At 46.2% G+C, this 13,837-nt stretch overlaps 1 protein-coding gene across 1 annotated transcript in view, besides 1 other annotated feature; it reads right to left on the reverse strand.

Annotated features, from left to right (window-relative positions):
- NPFFR1 (neuropeptide FF receptor 1) overlaps positions 1-8,761 on the reverse strand; it is a 36,676-nt gene extending 27,915 nt beyond the window's left edge. Inside the window, exon 1 of the mRNA NM_022146.5 lies at positions 8,427-8,761. Within this exon, the coding sequence (NP_071429.1) occupies positions 8,427-8,433 (7 nt within the window). The 5' untranslated portion in view covers positions 8,434-8,761. The remainder of the gene's footprint in view (positions 1-8,426) is intronic.
- Positions 7,968-8,469: an enhancer, noted in NCBI's record as "H3K4me1 hESC enhancer chr10:72042967-72043468 (GRCh37/hg19 assembly coordinates)". NCBI's record gives its function as "activates a minimal SCP1, AML or CMV promoter by ChIP-STARR-seq in naive H9 embryonic stem cells {active_cell/tissue: H9 hESC(naive)}" and the evidence as "EXISTENCE:reporter gene assay evidence [ECO:0000049][PMID:30033119]".
- Positions 8,762-13,837: the final 5,076 nt, after the last annotated feature.

The following is a 13,837-nucleotide window of genomic DNA, read 5'->3' on the forward strand; positions in this document are numbered from 1 at the left end:
GTTTTACCCATCAAAAATTGTATTCAGAAAAGGTTCTGATACAAATCATTTACCTCATAGTGAAAACTGAACTGCCTTTATCACATACTGAGCCTGTACTCTCAGTCTATTTAAAAGAATTCCAGGCCTTAGAGAGTGGATGTGGAAGAGGCTTAAGGTGGGAGAGGAGGGGAAAGTAAAGGGGAGGCAGGGATTTCCCTCTCTCTTTCTCTTGGAAAGGCTAAACATATGCCCTGGAGCACCTTTCCGGGTTCAATGGCTGGCTGCTTCCTCAAGGTCTGCAGGTTCAGTTTACCTGCAGTGCTGGCCACATTTCACGTCCTGCTTCAGCTAAGTGTAGAGATTTTTTTTTTCTTTTAGTTAAACTAGAAATGTCTTAGGGGTAGAAAGCATGCCTTGTTCAGCTTGAAATGCTCCTCATTATCTGGCACAGGGCCTAGAACATAAATATGATTAATGTATGTTGATAAGTTAGGTACTAAAGGCTATGAATTCTCCTAGACACACTGCTTTAGCTGTATCCCATAGGTGCTATTAGATAGTATTTCCATTATTTTTGAAATTTGTTTTGTACAACATCAAGCTATCTCTGACAAGGAAAGGAGAATTATCTTCATTTCACAGGAAAATCAAAACTCAAAGACAAAAAGAGACTTGCTCTAAGAATACAGCATGCAGTAGTGGTAGACCTCCAGATTTTGCTGGGCTCTGGGATTCAGGGTGCATCAAATAAGCCAGGACGCCTGTTCTGAGTTTGAGCTCCTGCTTAGGCTCTGCCATCTCCATCCATTTTCTCATCCTCTTTGGGTATCATCAGGTCACATATAAAGACCTCTAGGGTCCATTAGCAGCAATTAGGGATCCTTGATTTGGAAGGAACTTTGCCTTCCTGAGGCTTCTGCTACAAAGCTGACACTTTATGAACAGTGCATGTATCACCTAAAACCTTGCCTAAAACCAGGCATACAGTGGCCAAAGGCAGAACCGGGGTCACTCTGTGCTCAACTGAGAAATAATAGAAGAGGACACCTAACCCCTTTGAGATCCATTACCTCCTAACGAGGCATCACTGCTTGGAGTCCTAGGTTACTTAACGTTCTCTCTCTCCCCATCCCTAGCAGAATCTTCTTTTAGGAAATATTCTGATAAACTTGTTCACATGGATGAGGAAATGACTCATAACAAAGCGCTGTGTCTCTTTTAGGCTTTTGCATTTCAAAAGGAGTCAGACATTAAATTAGAAAAAGGAAAGCTCTAATAATGCAATTTCAGTTATTAACGAGAGAGCTACAAAAAGCTTTTGAGCATGAGAGACCGAATTTAATTCTTTATGTTTGTATCTTTTTTTTTTTTTTTTTTTTGGAGATGAAGTCTCACTCTGTCACCCAAGCTGGAGTGCAGTGGCGCGATCTGGGTTCACTGCAACCTTCACCTCCCGGGTTCAAGCAATGCTCCTTCCTCAGCCTCTGAGTAGCCAGGATTACAGACGTCTACCACCAAGCCCAGCTAATTTTTGTATTTTTAGTAGAGACGGGGTTTCACCATGTTGGCCAGGCTGGTCTCAAACTCCTGACCTCAAGTGATCCGCCTGACTCAGCCTCCCAAAGTGCTGGGATTGTAGACTAATTCTTTATGTTTGTGTCTTAAGGGGATCTGATAGAAGTTAGCTGTGTTGTCAGTTCCACTCACTGTTGCTTCAGTTGCTTCATTTGTGAACTCAGAGTTGAGCAGCCGCTTACATAGACCGCCTGGCTCTAACAGCCCAGAGTTTTTACAGTAGAATGGGCCACTCAATGATTGTAGTAGAAATACTTATTGTAAGTATATCTCCTCAACTCATTGCTGGAAGCAGGACAGATTGTCATCAGACAGATCATGGTCCCAATGAGAACCAGGCCTACACCCATCTGGCCTCTGCCTCCCCAGCAGCAGCTGAGACCCTTCCCATTCTTCCCTCCCAGTAAGACAGGAAGGCGTGGAAGGTCTTCAGGACAAAGCTGGAAAGCTAGACTTCATGGAGGCTGCAGCCCCACAGTGTCCCCAGAATCTAGACCATTTGTGCAGACCTGCTGCAGTTCAAACCAGGGCAATCTGTGCCTCCTGGGCCTCAGTTTTATCATCTATTAAATGGGGGTCTTGTTGTCTCCCTGCTCAATTCCCAGGCTGGTGGGCAGCCCCAGGATGATGATATGCTTTGTGGAAAAGGACAGGGCACAGAGACTCTGGCAGGAGCATTTCCAAGGAGCATATGGAGAAGCAGCATCCATCTGGACCTCTAAGATCTACTGTGTCCTGTGCTGGAGGGACACCAGCTGGCATGCTCCTGTCCCCTCTTCTCTCCAGTGACCCCCTTCCGTACATGGCCACTTCCCCATAGCTGTGCCCACTTCCAGCCAGTGCGGGTGTATATCCTCCCAGCCTTTGGGCCTCTCTCAGCCACAGAGCTTCTGGGATGGGTAGGCAGCTGTGGAGGCCCCTGGGGGCTCCCAGAAAGGCTGGGGTTGGGCTGGGGTGGGGCTGGGGTTAGGCTGGGGAGCAGATCTGATTTGCTGCCCTTCTGCTGACTTGTCCCACAGCATAACATCACAGTTAAGGCCCAGAGGGGAAGGCAAATGAGGGTTACTGCCCGGCTAACCATAGCAACTCTGCAGGGGGCTTGGCAGACTGCAGTGTCTGTCTCTAGATGTTGGGGAAGACTTCTGGGCCCTCAGAGAACCCTCCAGGCCATTGTTTTAATCCAGCCACCCAATAATTATCTTTTCTGTCCCCTAGTCAGTCATGAGACCTGTCAGCCTCCACTTGCTCAAGCTGGATATGGGAACTGGTGAGGAGACAGATGCTGGGCCAGCCCTGAGTGATAGAAAGTTCTTCCTGAGGTTGAGTTGAGTTGTCTTACTGCAACCTTCCCTCACCAGTCCCAATTCTGCTCCCAGGAGCCAGAACAAGAGTGAGCCCCTGTCCCCAGAATCATCCCCCTCTCCCCACGTCCCAGGGTATCCAGCAAGAGGGACTCCAGACCTATCTCATAGTCAGTGTGTTTTGGGACCTCCCCTACCCACCCCCCACCCTGCCCCGTAACTTTCCTGAAGAATAAAAGCCAGATCTCCCCCATCTTGAATGTAAGCCATTAATTTTTTGAGACCTAAATTCAGGACTTTACATTTCACTTACATGTACCTTTCATTTTCTTGGTTTTAATCCAGCATTTTGGTATGTTGAGATAACCTTAAATCTTGACTTTATTGCCTTGTGGGTGTTACAGCTCCTAGCCACAGATTTCATAAGCATGCCTTTTATTTTCCCCCTAAATTATTAATTAATGTCATATCAGGGTTGGAGTTCTAGGGACCCCTAGGCTGCTATCAAACCTTTCATAAAGCCCCCATTGTTGGTCCTCCAGTATCCCTCCTACGTCTCTCAATCAATTCACGAGTTTTTTCTGAGAGATCTTGGCAGTGTCCTGATGAACTTTCGTATTCATCATTTTTCCTCTCAGAAACCCATTCTGGAAGAGGAAATCTGTAGGTTTAGCTTGATTTGTTCTTTTGTTTGTTTTGGAAATATTATTTAGTAAAACGTGCACACTGTGAATAGCTATGTAAAATTAACAGCTGGATAGAGTTACAAAAACATTTACCAGCCAGTTGTGTCTTATGAACAGTTGCTCCAAATGGTATTGACATGATTTTTATATTTTTTTAGATTTAAAATAAGTTTTAAGTTTTTTATTGCAAATTGACAATTTATAATTATATAAATTTTTGGGATAAAAAGCGATGGTATAATTTATGAATACAAGGTGGAGTAATTAAATCAAGCCAGTTAACATATCCATCAAATACTTAACATTTTTTGTGGTGAAAACATCTGAAATTTAGTTTTTGTTTTTGCTTTTTTTAAGTAAGATTCAATCTTTTTTTGTATGTGTGACCGAGTCTCGCTCTGTCACCCATGCTGGAGTGCAGAGATCTTGGCTCACTGCAACCTCCGCCTCCCAGGTTCAAACGATTCTTATGTTTCAGCCTCCCAAGTAGCTGGGATTACAGATGTGTACCACCACACCCGGCTAATTTTTGTATTTTCAGTAGGAATGGGGGTTCACCATGTTGGCTAGGCTGGTCCCAAACTCCTGACCTCAGGTGATCCGCCTGCCTCAGCCTCCCAAAGTGCTGGAATTAGAGGCGTGAGCCACTGCACCCAAACTCAATCTTTATTTATTTATTTATTTATTTTTAAGATGGAGTCTTGCTCTGTCGCCCAGGCCAGAGTGCAGTGGCACAATCTCAGCTCACTGCAACCTCCACCCCCTGGGCTTAAGCAATTCTCTTGCCTCAGCTTCCCGAGTAGCTGGGATTACAAGTGTGTGCCACCACACTCAGCTAATTTTTGTATTTTTTAATAGAGATGGGGTTTCACCATGTTGGCCAGGCTGGTCTCGAACTCATGACCTCAAATGATCTTCCCGCTTTGGCCTCCCAAAGTGCTCTGATTACAGGCATGAGCCACTGCACATGGCCCTCTTGGCAATTTTGAAATGTACAATACTCTATTATTAACTCTATGCACCATGCTGTGCAATAGAATTCAAAAAAAGAAAACCATTTCTTCTGTCTAACTGAAATTTTGTACTCTTTGACCACCATCACTCCATTCTCCCCCACCACAGAGCCACTCTACTCTCTGGTTCTATGAGTTCTATAGTTTTAGATTCAATATATAAGTGAGAACATGTGGTATTTGTCTTTCTGTGCTTGACTTATTTTACGTAGTATAATGTTCTCCAATATTGTCCATGATGTTTTAAATGACACAATTCTGTCTTTTTAAAGGCTGAATAGTATTCCATTGTGTTTACATACCCCATGTTCCTCATCCATTCATCGGTTTATATACACTTAGTTGATTCCATAGCCTGGCTATTGTGGATAGCGCTGCAATAAACACGGTGGTGCAAACATCTCTTCAAGTAACTCATTTCAGATTTTGGGGTAAGTACCCAGAAATGAACTTGCTGGATCATATGGTAATTCCGTTTTTAGCTTTTTGAGGAACCTCCATACTATTCTCCATAATGACTGTGCAAATTTATTACATTCCCACCAACACCACACAAGGGTTCTCTTTTCTCCACATCTCCAACAACACTTACTTATCTTTCGTCTTTTTGGTAAAAGCCATCCTGACAGGTATGAGATGATGTCTCATTGCGGTTTTAACTTGCATTTTCCTAATCATCAGTGATATTGGGCATTTTTTCATATACCTGTTAGCCATTTGTATGTCTTCTTTCGAGAAATGTCTATTCAGATTTCTTACCATGTTTTAATTGGGTTTTTTGTTTTCTTGCTGTTGAGTTGTTTGAGCTCCTGGATTTGTTCTTAGTGAGTACTAATATAGGCTCCTAATGAACAATACATTATTTTCTTTCTTTTTGAAAACGCTTTTTTGTTTTGTTGTGCTTATTATAAAAGAATTCTAGGCTGGGCGTAGTGGCTCACACCTGTAATCCCAGCACTTTGAAGGGCCGAGGCGGGCAGATCACGAGGTCAGGAGTTCAAGACCAGCCTGGCCAACATGGTGAAACCCTGTCTCTACTAAAAACACAAAAATTAGCCAGGCATGATGGCACATGCCTGTAATCCCAGCTACTCAGGAGGTTGAGGCAACAAAATTGCTTGAACCTGGGAGACAGAGGTGGCAGTGAGCCGAGAACACGCCACTGCACTCCAGCCTGGGCAACAGGGCGAGACTCCGTCTCAAACAACAACAACAACAACAACAAAGAATTCTGAGCACCGCAAAAGAGAGAGTAAACCTGACAGAACCCTCACATCCAGAGATAACCCCTATGTTTGTGATGCTCTCTGCCTGCCACATCCCATTGGCCCAAAGATTTCAGCTGGGGTGAATGGTTCCTCAAATTTTTAGCACCCCACCAGGTCTGCACCTGGGAGTCTCTCTGCTCTGCTTCCTCTGAAGTCACAAAAAGGGACAACCCAAAACTGCAGGAGTGGGGCAATACCAGACCAGTGGGGAGGTGAAGCAGCCAACGCCACCTCTTAGGTGGGGTAAACCTCGGGTTCACCCTGCACTTTTCTCAGAGTGTCCCCAGCAGGATAGAACCCCCCAGTTGCCCACAGCTAAAACCAGCTCATTAAGGCACCCATTTCTTGCCTTTTCTCCCTTCTTCATCTCACTCTCCTCATTCCCTCACTTCCACTGCCCGGCATCATCTCCCAAATAGACTCCCTATATCCAAGCTCTTGTCTTAGGGTCTGCTTTCAGAAGCAGGAGAATCAAACAAAGATGTTAGTGACTACCTCTTTGCGTATACACTTGTATATGTATATTTCCAATAATAAACCTATGTAATTTTGCATAAAGGGGATCACACTACACATGCATTCAAAAACCTGTTTTTTTTTCTAATTACTCACAGTGGGTAGTGAACATATTTCCATGTCAATAAAGAAAATCCTAAGCACAGTTTTTAATGTCTGCATAGTATGCCATTGCAGAAGTGTCTCATTTTTTATTTAATTTACATAATTTATGGCTATCTGGATGGTTTCCAATTTTGCACTGTGATGAACATGCTCAGGCACACATCTTTGCAAGTGTGCAGCTCAGAATTTGAAAAAATTCTGAGCTGAGGGAGTGCGTTGTTGTCTCCTAAGTGTACACTGTGTTTGGTCATTTCTTCTGGAATTTTAATAGAGGTCAAAACTAATCTTAGCAGTGTAGAGGCTTTTTAGATAAAAAATTTATATTTCCCTTTTTTGAAAATCAGGACATTTGCCCATCTTCAGTTTTCTGGCACTTCCTTCATTCTCTGTAGTTTCCTCAAAAGCAATGATTATATCTGTAAATACCTCTGGGTCGCTGGGATGTCATATGTCTGGGCTTCAATGAGTGAGCTCATTGTAGGTAACTTGATGTCTTCTTCCTATCGCTTGACTATCTTGGGTCTCTATTTCCTCCTTATCCTCTTTATTCCACAATTTGAAGTAAAATTGCCTGTATCTTGCTCTGCCTGCCCTCGAGCCTAAGCCAGAGCAGATTCCTTCTTGTTATTCTTAGACTTTGAAAGCTTTTTGCTCTTGTCTTTGCCAATTTCCCCCGACTTCTGTTCACTGGAGCTTCAGGGCTTTGCTAACGCCATTCTTACAGATCTGCCAATCTTCCAGATTCCTCTTGGGTTATTGATTCCTTCTTGCCTCTTTTGTGTGTGTGCTTTTCATACCCTGGCTCATTGGAAAACTACAAGTGCAGCCTCACAAGATTTTCTATAAAACTTGATTTTATTTTTTAACAGCAGTGTTTGCAATTACTAATTGGAATTTTGGGGTTTTATTACCTCTTGCCACAGCTGCCTCATACTGGCGTGTTGTACAACATATCTTATTTTATCCTCACAGACACTCTCTGAAGCCAGCTGAATGTTAAGTTCCCCCATTCGATAGATGGGTGACCAGTGGCACAGAAAGGTTTAGGCACTATCTCAAAGACACCCAGCAAGACAGTGGACGAGCCCTTGGTTTTCCAGTTTCTTAGCCTAAATATGGTTCCCCTTGTCCACAATGGCTGAGAGAGGGTTCTGGTAAAGTGGGAGCAAGCAGCCTTATGCCTTGGTCCGCTATCCCTTAAAATCCTGAAGGTAAGGTCCATAGTTCACTCTCCTTTCCTTAGGGAGAGAAATTCTCTCTACATGGAGGATATCACCTCTAGAATCCCATCTCCCCAACAACCCCACCCCTTCAAGCAGACAAAGTCGGTGACAATTCTTCTGAAGCTAATAGCCAAGCTGTCCTCACCTGGTCTCAAATGATTCTCTGCTCAGACAGCAGGGATTGTGTGCGTGCACACACACAACAGGGACTCTCTCTTTTTGTGTGTGTGTGTGTGTGTGTCTTGTACATGCACACACATATGTACAACACAAATACAGAGGCACCCCAGGTCTTTCTCTCTCTCTCTCACTCTCTCTCTCTCTCTCACACACACACACAAGCACAACATGAATACAGAGGCACCCCCAAGTGTTTCTCTGCCTGTCTCTGTCTCCCTCTCTCAGTGTCTGTCTCTATGTCTCTGTCTCTGTCTCTCTCTCTCTCTCTCTTTCACACACACAGGCACAACATGAATACAGAGCACCCCCAGGTCTTTCTCTCCATCTGTCTCTTTCTGTCTGTCTGTTTTTCTGTCTCACATACACACGCACACACACACACACCATGAACACATGGGCACCCCAGGTCTCTCTCCCTCACTCAGTGTCTCTGTCTCTGTCACACACAGAGTGTCACAACGTCTGGCTCTGGACAGCCATGGGTGATCAGCTGCCCGGCCCTCTCCTCTCCCTTCGCCCCATGCCCCGGAGTCGGTACCCTGCCCCACGGCTGGCCCCCAGCCCCAGGACCACTCACCCTCCATGATGCCCCCAGTTGCGGGCTCCGGCGGTCTCCGATGGCGGGAGGCAGCGGGCCCCTTCGGGCCAGCGGGCAGAGGGACGGTCTCCGGGCACTTGGTTGCGGGCTGCGCCCCTGCCTCCGCGCTCCGCAGGTCCGGTCGGTCCGGGCAGAGGTGAGCAGGGGGCGTGCGCTCCCAGGCCCCGGGCCCTGGCCGGTTTCCCTCCCCTCGGGCTGACTGGCTCCCGCGCAGCGCTGCTGCCCGCAGGGCTCAGCCGCCCGCCGCCCCTCGCCTCCCGACCAGGGGAAGGAGGGGGCTCGTGAGGCGCAGTCGTCATGGCACCCGCGCACCTGTGCCCGCCGAGCGAGGGCGCCCCGGGCCCGCCTCCCGCATGGCGCTCTCTCCACAGAGCCCGAGCGCCCCTCCGAAGTAGGGGACACACCCCTCCTCCCACTGCAGCCCTGGCAGCGGCGTCCCGTAATTCCCCACCTCTCTCCCGTGCCTCATATGCCAGCCTCTGTCCCCACTCCTCATCCTTGCCCACCCTAGCCTGGGGTCCAGCACTCTGGGCCTTCCTGAGAAGGGGATGAGAGGTAGCTGTGAAAACAGGAGGGCTTCGGGAGGGAGGCAGGGGGGAGCCCCACCAGCTCCCGGCTCTCCCAGGAGAATGGGGACAAGTTCTGCTAGGTGACCACGGCTTTGAAATTAACCAGTTCAGGCATTCACCGGGTGGTACCCTTGGAAAAGTTTCTTATAATAATACCTGTGCCTGAGTGTGTTTCTGCATTTGTAAAATGATTTTGAGGGGAGTAAATGTGATACCAAAGTTTCAGCCCAGCCCATAGTAGATGCTCAACAAATGGTTCCTTGAGCTGAATTGGAGAATACTCATCTCCAGCCCCTGTCAGGCACCCAGCAGGCACCACCATAAATTTTCGCCACATGAATAAAGATCCCAGGTTCTATCTGCACTCCTGTGTTTTTCTTGCAGCACTGTTTACAATAGCTAAGATTTGGAAGCAACCTAAGTGTCCATCAACAGATGAACGGATAAAGAAAATATGGTACATATATGTAAATGGAGTACTATTCAGCCATAAAAAAGAATGAGATCCAGTCATTTGCAACAACATGGATGGAACTGGAAATCATTATATTAAATGAAATAAGCCAGGCACAGGAAGCAAACGTCACATGTTCTTACTTATTTGTGAGATCTAAAAATCAAAACAGTTGAACTCATGGACATAGTAGAAGCATGTGGTTACCAGAAGCAGGGAAGGGTAGTGGGAGGATAGGGATGGTTAATGGGTACAAAAAAATAGCTAGAAAGAATGAATAAGACCTATTGTTTGACAGCACAATAGGGTGACTATAGTCCATAATAACTTAATTGTATATTTTTAAATAGCTTAAAAAGTATAATTGGATTGTTTGTAACTCAAAGGATTAGTGCCTGAAGGGATGGATACCCCATTCTCCATGATGTGCTTATTTCACATTACATGCCTGTATCAAAACACCTCATGTACCCCATAAATATATACACCTACTATGTACCCAACTATTTTTTTAAAAAAAGATCCCATGTTCTAGGCAGATGAAAGAAAGTGAATGGTCTATTCCTTCCTCTTTTAGGAGTCAGGAGTTTGCTCACTGGACACTGGGGAAACAGTTGGCATCAAGATTCTTCCTAGTCTCACTTCTTTCCCTAGTTCCTCCTCTGTCCAGAGCAGTGGGCAGAGTCTCACAGCTAGAAGGTCCTTAGGGGTCACTGAGTCTAACCCTGACCCAGAGCGGGCATCCTGACCCTAATCCCCAGCAAGAAGTATCCCCAGCAATGGGTACCTCTGCCATCATGTCCCTCTCTCTTCCCCTAGGGCAGCCCTTCAGAGGTCAAGTGGGAGGGAAGTTGCTCCTTCAACGCTGCTGTTCTACTGGAGAAACACAAGAATTTCACTGGGCTTTTTTCTTTCTGTGACTTGCCTCAGTCTCTTCATCTGTAAAATGGGCATAATAATGGCACCTATCTCCTATAGTTGTGAAGATTAAAGCAGTTACTATATACAAAGCATGTGAAACAGTGCTTTGCATATAGACAGTACGCAAGAAATATTATTCATCTTATCACTATCTTGAGTCCACCTCCCTGTAGAAGTGCTCACATTTCTTGAAGTCCCTCTGATAAAACCCAGAAGTATGTCAGGTCATATTAAGCCCCCTTGAGCAATGCAGAGTTTGAGGCACTGTGCTGTAAAGTCTGTATAGCCCAGCACTGCCATTTAGAGTTGGTGCGCTTTGGGAAATTTATATGTCTTTGTGCCTGAGTTTCCTCTCATCTACAAAATAGGGATAATAGTACCTACCATGTAGGGTTATGAGAATTAAATGAGTTAATATATGTAAAGCCCTGACAACATGTAGGTACTCAATAAATATGAGCTACAATTACAGGGGCAATAGAGTTTTTTTTTTTTTTTTTTTTTTTTGATAAGGTCTTACTCTGTCACCCAGGCTGGAGTGTAGTGGCACAATCTCAGCTCACTGCAACCTCTGCCTCCCAGGTTCAAGTGATTCTCCTGCCTCAGCCTCCCTAGGAGCTGGGATTACAGGCATCCACCACCGCAACCAGCGAATTTTTTCGTATTTTTAGTAGAGACGGGGTTTCACCATGTTGGCCAGGCTGGTCTTGAACTCCTGACCTCATGTGATCCACCTGCCATGGCCTCCCAAAGTGCTGGGATTACAGGCTTGAGCCACCATGCCCAGCCGGGGCACTAGACTTTGAATAATGCAGTCTCACTTTTTCGCTTTCTTCCCTTTCCTTCCTTCTTTCCTCAGCAGCCACATCATTCTAGCGCCTTGTGGTCAATTGCTCCACCATCTTTTTTATTTGAATAGTTCCAGATCATAGAGCCTTTTCTTCCTTTTCCCTCCTCTTCTACAGACATTTTTCTTCTACCATTAAAACCTTCCTATAGTGTCAAGTCCACGTGGTACCAGACAAAACAAATTTCGTGGATCTAGCCTTGGAGAGCAGGCAGGGCAGTGTGTCTGAGTGTGAATTCTATCTCTACTATTTGTTAGCTGTGTGACCCAGGGTAAGTCACTTAAGCCCTCTGATATGGTTTGGCTACGTCCCCATCCAAATCTTACCTTGAATTGTAGCTCCCATAATTGCCATGTGTTGTGGGAAGGACCGGGTGGAAGGTAACTGAATCATCGGGGTGGGTTTTTCCTGTGCTGTTCTTGTGATAGTGAATAAGTCTCACAAGATCTGATGGTTTTATAAAGGGCAGTTCCCCTGCACATGCTCTGTTGCCTGCCGCCATGTAATAGGTGACTTTGCTCCTCCTTCACCCTCTGCCATGATTGTGAGGCCTCCCCAGCCATGTGGAACTGTGAGTCCATTAAGCCTCTTTTTCTTTATAAATTACACAGTCTCCAGTATTTCTTCATAGCAATGTGAAAATGGATTAACACACCCTCTAACCTCATTTTCCTCATTTGTAAAATGGGATTTATACTACTTTTTCTAACGGCTGCTGTGTGGATTAAAACAGCATTAAATACAGTGCCCTTCCTCATCCCCAAAGTCATGGGTGGAGGCCGAACAGACAGATTGGGTAAAAGTTGCTCCATGCAGATAAAGAAAAGTGCCCCCTCTCTTTCTCCTCCTGTTGTGGACTGAACTATGTCTCCCCAAAATTGATATGTCAAATTCCTAACCCCACAATGTGACGGTATTTGGAGATAGGAAGTAAGTAATTATGGTTAAATCAGGTCATAAAAGTGAGGCCCTAACGACATAAGGTGGGTGTCTGTATAAGAAGAGAAAGAGACTGGGTGTGGTGGCTGACACCTGTAATCTCAGCACTTTGGGAGGCTAAAGCGGGTGGATCACTTGAGCCCAGGAGTTCAAGACTAGCCTGGGCAACGTGGCAAAACCCTGTCTCTATAAAACATATGAAAAAAATATATGTATATAGCCAGGCGTGGTGTTGTGTGCCTGTAGTTCCAGCTATTCAGGAGGCTGAGGTGGAAGGATCACTTGAGCTCAGGGGGCTCAGAGGCTGCAGTGAGCTGACATCACACCACTATACTCCAGCCTGGGTGACAGAGCAAGACCCTGTCTCAAGGGAAAAAAAAGAAAGAAGAAGAGAAGGAGACACCAGGAATCTACATGCATAGAGGAAAGGCCATATGAGGCCACAGCGAGCAGGTGGTCCTCTGCAAGCCAAGGACAGAGGCCTCAGGAGAAACCAAGCCTTTCAGCACCTTGATCTTCGACTCTAACCTCCAGAACTGTGAGAAAATGAATTTTTGTTGTTTAAGCCAGGAGTGTCCAAATTTTTGTTGTTGAAGCCCCAACCCCTGAGTCACAGCCTGTTAGGACCTGGGCCGCACAGGAGGAGGTGAGTGAGCATTACCGCCTGAGCTCCACCTCCTGTCAGATCAGCAGCAGCATTAGATTCTCCTGGGAGCGCAAATCCTGTTGTGAACTGCACATGCACAGGATCTAGGGTGCGCACTCCTTATGAGAGTCTAATGCCTGATCATCTGATGTGGAACAGTTTCATCCCCAAACCATCAGCCCCCACCCCCGAGTCCGTGGAAAAATCGTGTTCCACAAAACCAGTCCCTGGTGCCAAAAACGTTGGGTTTAAGTCTGTGGTATTTTGTTATGGCAGCCCTAGCAAACCAAGATACCTCCCTACCCCAAAGCAGCTCCCAGGAAACCTAAGGCAACATTATTCTCCATTGCAGATCATGCTTTTCTCCAAAGTTCACCTGACTGCAGGGCTGGGGCGCTTCTCTGCCCTGAACCTTGGATGCAGAGTCTTTCAGTCAAACAAGTCACCATTGCTCCTATCTTACAGATGAAGGAATCAAGGGAAATGCCTTGCCCAATACTACACAGCTAGAGTGGAAGAGAGAGGAGAGGAGGCCAAGAACACTCCCTTGGACTCCTTGGGCACTGGCCCTGCCTCCCTCAACTTTTTTGGCCCTTTGGGAGAGCATCTGAGAAAGCTAAGGGTGCACCCATCCAAGGTGTAGAAGCAATCCCTGTCCATCTCAAGGAGCCCCACCACCTCCTTGGCCTGCAGGGTTTCCAGCTGCATGCATTCTGCCCAAGAGCTTGACCTGCACCTTCATCCTCAGGGGAGCTACTCCCCATCCCACCCCACCTCCAATAGCTACAGCTGGGCACATGTGCTGTGGCTTAGGGAGCCTTTTTGCAGAAAGCCCCACCATCCTGGAAACTGATTTCCATCTGAAAAGCTAGATGCCAGGAGGTGGCAGGAAGAAAATGGAATTGAGAAGTTCTTTAAAAGGGGAAAGCCTCCTGTGCACACTGGAATCCATGTGGACACCTGCTTGGAGAAGCATCTAAAAGGAGCAGTGGAGGAGGAGGTGGAGGGTGATC

Source organism: Homo sapiens, chromosome 10 (genome assembly GCF_000001405.40).
Source record: "Homo sapiens chromosome 10, GRCh38.p14 Primary Assembly".
NCBI lineage: Eukaryota > Metazoa > Chordata > Mammalia > Primates > Hominidae > Homo > Homo sapiens.